Below are 7,359 nucleotides of genomic sequence, written 5' to 3' on the forward strand. Positions count from 1 at the left end.
TTGAAAATCCTGATTCTGCCACTTACCTTGGGCTAATTTCTTAGCCCATCTGGGGCTGTTTCCTAATCAGTGAAAATTGGGAAAAGATATTCATCCCAATGTGTGGTTTCAAGAATGAATTGAGATAATCATGTATGTGGAACACTTGGCAGGTAGTCAGAAAGTGGTAGCTCCTGTCAGAATTTTTGCTGTCCAAAACAGACCCACAAAACTGTCTTATCCATTCTGCAGATGAGGAAAACTGAGGCTTAAAGAAATGATATCATTTACCCAAAATGACAAGCTGGGAGCAGCACAATCAGAATTTAAACTCATGTCTGTTTGACTCCAAGGTGCATGCCTTTACCATCTTGAAAAGAATGGGGCAACACAGCAAAAATACAGACACTTTAAGGTATATATATATGAAGTGTGTGAGTCCCATATCAAATTTTTGGAGCTTTGCCAAAATGGTAGGTGAACAATGTTTTCTTCAGTGTAGCCATAATTTGTATTTTTTCTTTTTTTTTCTTTTAACTCATCTGTATTTGTTACAACTATAAGAAGAATGTGACTCGAGCACTACATTTCCATCCACAAGACCGGGTCTGAGTTATTTTTAAACAGCTTTATGATATGCTTAGGTAGGCTTATAACTTTGCTCCTCCAAACAATACTTTTCTTTGGAAAACAAGCCCTGTGGAGAGATCCTTCCATCAAGTTGCTTCAGTTTAACCTATTTCTAGAGGACTAGTACATGCAGAATTGTCAACTATAGGGGATGAAAAGTTCAAAAAGTAGATCCTACAAGATGTAACAAATACTTTTCTAAACATCAAGGTATAGCTCAGGAACACTTCGATAACAAGATTTGGTCTACTTAGGAATCCGGCTTGACAGCTAAACACTTTAGACCACAAAGTTAACATCATGTTACATACATCTTACAACGCACGTTACCCCAATCTGTGAAAATAAACCGACGTGAAACTCAAAAAGCATTACTAGCTCTGCTTTAGTGCCTAAGGTATCACAGCATCACTTAGTAGACAGAAATCTTATCTTCCCCTTAAAGTAGTTGTTGTCATGCCGTACAGACTTTTTAATATTAACAAAAATAAAGAAAAACATCCTTGAATATATATTATCGGAGGAATTGTAGAGTATTGAACAGTTAAGTCATCCCTTAGCCAGAGGTTAGTCTACTTCTTCCATGCATGATGTGTCGTCATCTCCTTCGAGGGGCGGCATTTCTTCAGTTACAGCAGCACTGGTATCATCAGCAGCAGGATCATCTTCATCAATACCCAGACCAAGTTTGATCATCCTGTAGGTCCTGTTAGCATGTGTCTGGGGATCTTCCAGACTGAAGCCAGAAGACAGGAGTGCAGTTTCGTAAAGCAAGATGAGCAGATCCTTCACAGACTTGTCATTCTTATCAGCCTCTGCCTTTTGCCTTAAGGTCTCAATAATGGAATCATCAGGATTTATCTCCAGGTGTTTCTTGGCTGCCATATAACCCATTGTTGAGTTGTCTCTTAGGGCTTGAGCTTTCATGATTCTCTCCATGTTTTCTGTCCAGCCATATGTGCTTGTGACAATACAGCATGGAGACGTCACCAATCGGTTTGACACAACCACCTTTTCAACTTTTTTCTCCAATATGTCTTTCATGGTTTTGCAGAGGTTCTCAAACATTGTTTTTTCTCTTCCTATTTCTTTTTCTTTTCTTCATCCTCTGGAAGTTCCAGGCCTTCTTTGGTGACTGGCACTAAAGTCTTCCCCTCAAATTCCTTCAGCTGTTGGACACAGTACTCATCAATGGGCTCAATCATATAGATCACTTCTAAGCCATGTTTCCCAAGACGTTCCACAAAGGCTGAGTTAGCTACCTGGTCCTTGGTCTCACCTGTGATATAATAGATATGTTTCTGTTTTTCCTTCATTCTGGTGCAGTAGTCCTTGAGAGAAACCATCTCATCACCAGAGGCAGACGTGTAGTACCTTAACAGCTCTGAAAGCTTCTTCCGATTTTGAGAGTCTTCTTGTATTCCAAGCTTTATGTTTTTAGAGAACTGCTCATAGAATTTCTTGCAGTTCTCTTTATCTTCCGCCAGTTCTGTAAAGAGTTCTAAGCATTTTTTGACCAAATTTTTCCTGATAACTTTCAAAATTTTACTTTGTTGCAACATCTCACGGGAAATGTTTAGAGGGAGATCCTCCGAGTCTACCACCCCTCTAATGAAGTTCAGATATTCAGGGATTAGCTCCTCACAGTTATCCATGATGAAATCTCTGCGTACATACAATTTGATGTTGTTCTTTTTCTTTCTGTTTTCAAACAGGTCAAAAGGAGCACGTCATGGGACAAATAGAAGGGCTCTGAATTCCAACTGTCCTTCAACTGAAAAATGCTTCACTGCCAAGTGATCTTCCCAGTCATTGGTCAAGTTCTTGCAGAATTCTCCGTACTCCTCATTAGTAATATCGTCGGGATTTCTGGTCCAGATGGGCTTTGTTTTGTTGAGTTCTTCTTGGTCGATGTACTTTTCCTTAGTCTTCTTCTTCTTCTTGTCACCATCCTTCTTTTCTTCTTCCTCATCAGAACCAACATCTTCAATTTCAGGTTTGTCTTTGGACTCTTTCTCTTCTTTTTCTTTTTCTTCTTCTTTGTCTTCCTTTTCTTCAGTCTCATCGTCGCTGACTTCTTTATCACATTCCTTCTCCACAAAAAGAGTAATGGGATATCCAATAAGCTGAGAATGTTTCTTCACAATCTCCTTTATTCTTTGTTCCTCCAAGTACTCAGTTTGGTCTTCTTTCAGGTGTAGGATAACCTTTGTTCCACGACCCATACGTTCACCTGTGTCTGTCCTCACTGTGAATGATCCCCCTGCTGAGGACTCCCAGGCGTACTGCTCATCATCATTATGTTTGGTGATCACAGTTACTTTCTCAGCAACCAAATAAGCAGAATAAAAACTAACACCGAACTGGCCAATCATAGAGATATCTGCACCAGCCTGCAAAGCTTCCATGAACGCTTTGGTCCCAGACTTGGCGATAGTACCAAGGTTATTGATCAAGTCAGCCTTGGTCATTCCAATTCCAGTATCCACAATAGTGAGAGTTTGATCTTGTTTGTTTGGTATAAGGTTAATATGCAGCTCTTTCCCAGAGTCTAATTTACTGGGATCTGTCAAGCTTTCATACCAGATTTTGTCCAATGCATCTGATGAATTTGAAATGAGCTCTCTCAGAAAGATCTCTTTGTTCGAGTAGAAAGTATTGATGATCAATGACATCAACTGGGCAATTTCTGCCTGAAAGGCGAATGTCTCAACCTCCTCCTCCTCCATCGGTTGGTCTTGGGTCTGGGTTTCCTCAGGCATCTTGGCTAAGTGACCGCACAGGACCCACGGCACAGCAACACCAGGATGCTGAAGCAACTCATAATTTGTATTTTTTCTTATTGTGAGTGAAGTTGAACATTCTTTCACATGTTTAAAGCCATTTGTATATCCTTTTTCTGTGAACTCTTTATGAGCTTTGTTCTTTTTCCATTGAGATGTTGGTTTTCTTTTTATTGATTTATAAGAACTTTTTAGGTGTTAGAGAAATTAGCCCTTGGTTATATATGTTGAAAAATATTTTTCCCAATTTGTTCTTTGCCTTTTATCTTTAATTATGGTATTTTTGCCATATAGAATTTTAAATGTAATCAAAATTAATTGTTTTAGGCTTTTAAATTTTAAAAATTATAGCTAGTAATCTTTTTCTGATCTGAAGTTATAAAATAATTCTCTCACCATTTTTTTAGTACTTTTGTTTACATTTTTTTTTGTAGACGAAGTGTCATTCTTGTGCTCCAGGTTGCAGTGCAATGGCACAATCTAGGCTCACTGCAACCTCCGCCTCCCACGTTCAAGCGATTCTCCTACCTCAGCCTCCGATGTAGCTGGGATTACAGGTGCCTGCCACCATGGCCAGCGAATTTTTGTATTTTTAGTAGAGACAGGGTTTCACTATGTTGGCCAGGCTTGTCTCGAACTCCTGACCTCAGGTGATCTGCCCGCCTTGGCCTCCCAAAGTGCTGTCTACATTTTTACATTTAAGTAGTTGGTTATTTTGAAATTTATACTAGGGCAAGGTGTGGTTTATACATCCTTTTTCCCCCCAGATAATCACTCTGTTATACTAGCAACAATTATTAGATAATTCATCTTGTTTCCAATGATTTGAGATACCGCCAATTTAATTATTTATTAAGTTCCTATGCATATTTAGGTCTATTTTAAAACTTTTAATTATCATGTGGATCATTTTCCATTCATCAGTAGCATACTGTTTTAATTATTAAAACTTTATAGTATGCTTTAGCATCTGATAGGTCTTATTCTCTTGTCATTCTTTTTCTGACTTTTCCTGGATACACATTTTTGTTTATTTTTCCAAATGAATTTTAAAACTAGCTTATCTATTTCAAAAAATATATAGTTGATATATTTATGGGATTATTTTTTATCTTATATATTACCTACTGAGAATTGACATCTTTTTGAGGTTTTAGCTTCCTTTCCCACAATAAAACATACTTTGTCCATTTGTTTAAATTTTTTTTGAATCCCTCAAGAGTTTTAAACTTTTTATCTTGTAGATCTCATATATTTCTTGTTAAATTTATTTCTAGATATTTCATCTTTTGTTGCTATTATAAATGGGATATTTTCTGCTACAATATAAAATGTTTTTTGAAGGAAGTCTTTTGGGACTAATGATCTGTGGGACCATTTTGGGAAATTCTACTTGACTTTGTGCATCCCCTGTACTCCAAATAATGTGTGTCCTAGGAGGGGAAATGACATTTCCACAGAGCAGTCAGAGACCCTATACAAAAGGGAGGAAGAAGGCTCCCCTTTTGCCTTTGGAAGAATTGGGTCATTTCGATCCCATTCTGCAATGTATAGAAGCACTCGTAGAATATTCAAACTGGAAGATTGCTAAAAGATCAAGCTATTGAATCCTCTGATGCAAATGATGAGAAAATAGATGACCAGAGAGAGAAAGTGACCTACCGAGGTTGGGCAGAGTATAGGTTCTGGCTTATATTGATGGATGTCCAGGGCTTCCCTCAGCAGAGCTTCCTAGGCAGCAGCAATAGGCAACACCCTCCTATTCTGTCCCAAATTCCACTTTGTCACTTGCCAGATACTATGTCACCTACAGCATATACACTGGTCCTTTTGACCCTACACATTCCCATCCTCTGACCCTACATGATCTTGGCTAACCTGCCTTCCTATACCAGCAGAACCTGTATTTCTTTTTTAGACCCTGACAAATGTTAGGTCAATTTGTCAGTGCATTTGTAGTCAAAATTTGGTTGTCTAGATGTGGATGAACCCTGGCGTAGGTGCAATAGGAACCTGAAATGAGATTATCTCCCCAAAGGGCTTTAGAAAATTTGGAGTTGCTGCTCTAGTTGAAAAGGAACAGGATCCAGATCTCCACCTTATTCTGCCTCATGTTTAATCCCCTAGCCCTTCCCATCTCACATAATAGAAGTTTAACAGTGGAATTGCTTTAAGCCTGACTTAGAACTATTGATAATTCTTCAATTCTTCTCAGATTTCCATGATGATCTCCTTCCCTCTCTACTCCCCATATCTTGGTTAATCAGTAGTTTACCACAGTTTACCATAAAGTTTATCTAGTGATAATAGTCACACCTACAACCATTTTTTCCGTATGACCTGGTGGAAGAAGCACTGATTTGGGGAGTCAAGAGGCTTGGTCTAAAGTTTTGCTCTGATGTTTACTAGTTGCATGACCTGAAGACAGTCACCTAAGCTCTCAGGGCTGTTTCCTCCTCTATAAAATGAGAATATAATATTAAGTTAGAAAATATGAAAATCCTATTTTTGCAGGTCAAAGATAACCTAATATCAGCAACTTATATGGTTCAACCTAATGGTGCCTGCCCTATTCACTACATAGAGAATTGTGAGGAGTAAAGGAAACAGTGAGCATGAGGGATGTCATTGAGATGCTTCAAATATTTTACATATGTAATGGATTATCATTTTTCTCTTTCCCAGGGTACTTGTCATTTAAAATTAGGCACTTAACAATTCAAAGAAAATGATCCATAATGGCAGAATTTCAAATAGACTTAAATATTCATATACCTTACATGGTAAACTGAATAATGGCCTCCCAAAAGCGTACATATCCTGATCCACAGAACCTGTGAATGTTACTTTATATGGCAAAAAGGACTTGTCTGTATTAGGGATAATCTTGGACTATCTGGATGGGCTTGATGTAATCACATCTGACCTTATAAGAGAGATGCAAGGGAGTCAGAGTAATAGGAGACTATGATGTGATGATGGAAGCAGGGACTAGACTGATGCACTTTGAAGATCAAGGAAGGGACCACAAGCTAACGAACACAGGCAGCCTCTAGACACCTAAAAATGCAAAGAAATGGATATTCCTCTAGAATCTCCAGAAGGAACCAGCCCTGCCAACACATTGATTTTACCCCTGTAAAATTCATTTCTGACTGCTGGCCTCCAGGATTATAAAGGAGTAAATTTTTGTTACATTAAGCCACTATGTTTGTGGTTAATCGTTACAGCAGCCATAGGAAACTAATATGCCCTATGACCTAGCCATTTAACTCCTAGGTACATAACTAAGATAAACTGTTTCAGATCCATGCCAGGAGACATAGGGTAACATTCACAGATGCACTGGCCACAATAGCAATAATGAAGAAAACTCAAAATCCATCACTGAGAGAGTGAATGAATGAACTCTAATAAAATATTACTTGGCAGTCAAAATATATGAACTATAGTAATATGAAAAAAATTGGATGAATCTTAGCAATATATTTTTATGTTTATTTTTGTTTTGTTTATTTTGAAACCATCTCAAACTTACAGAAAAGTTGCAAGTACGGTACAAATGCCATTTTTTTCTGACCCATTTGAGAATAAGTTGCCAATCTGCTGCTCCATCACCCATGAATACTTTAGGATATATTTTCTACATACAAGGGCATTCTCTTACATAACCACAATACAACCGTCAAAATCAGGAAATTGCGTTAATATTCAACCACTACGTAACTCTCAAACTTCATTTAAGTTTTGTCAGTTGTTCCAAAAATACCTTTCAGAGCATAAGAGTCTGGTTCAGAATTGCACTTTGCATTTGCTTGTCATGTCCTTTTAGTCTCCTTCATTTGGAGCAGTTCTTCAATTTTTCTTTGACTTTCATGACCTTTACATTTTTTGGAGATTACACAAGAGTTATTTCATAGACTGTCCCTCAGTGTGGGACTTTGGTCTGCTGAGTCTCATGATTAGA

At 38.0% G+C, this 7,359-nt stretch overlaps 1 pseudogene; it reads right to left on the minus strand.

Moving 5' to 3' along the window:
• Positions 509-3,430, minus strand: HSP90AA2P (heat shock protein 90 alpha family class A member 2, pseudogene; annotated as a pseudogene).

This window comes from Homo sapiens, chromosome 11 (assembly GCF_000001405.40).
Source record: "Homo sapiens chromosome 11, GRCh38.p14 Primary Assembly".
In the NCBI taxonomy this organism is placed as follows: Eukaryota; Metazoa; Chordata; class Mammalia; order Primates; family Hominidae; genus Homo; species Homo sapiens.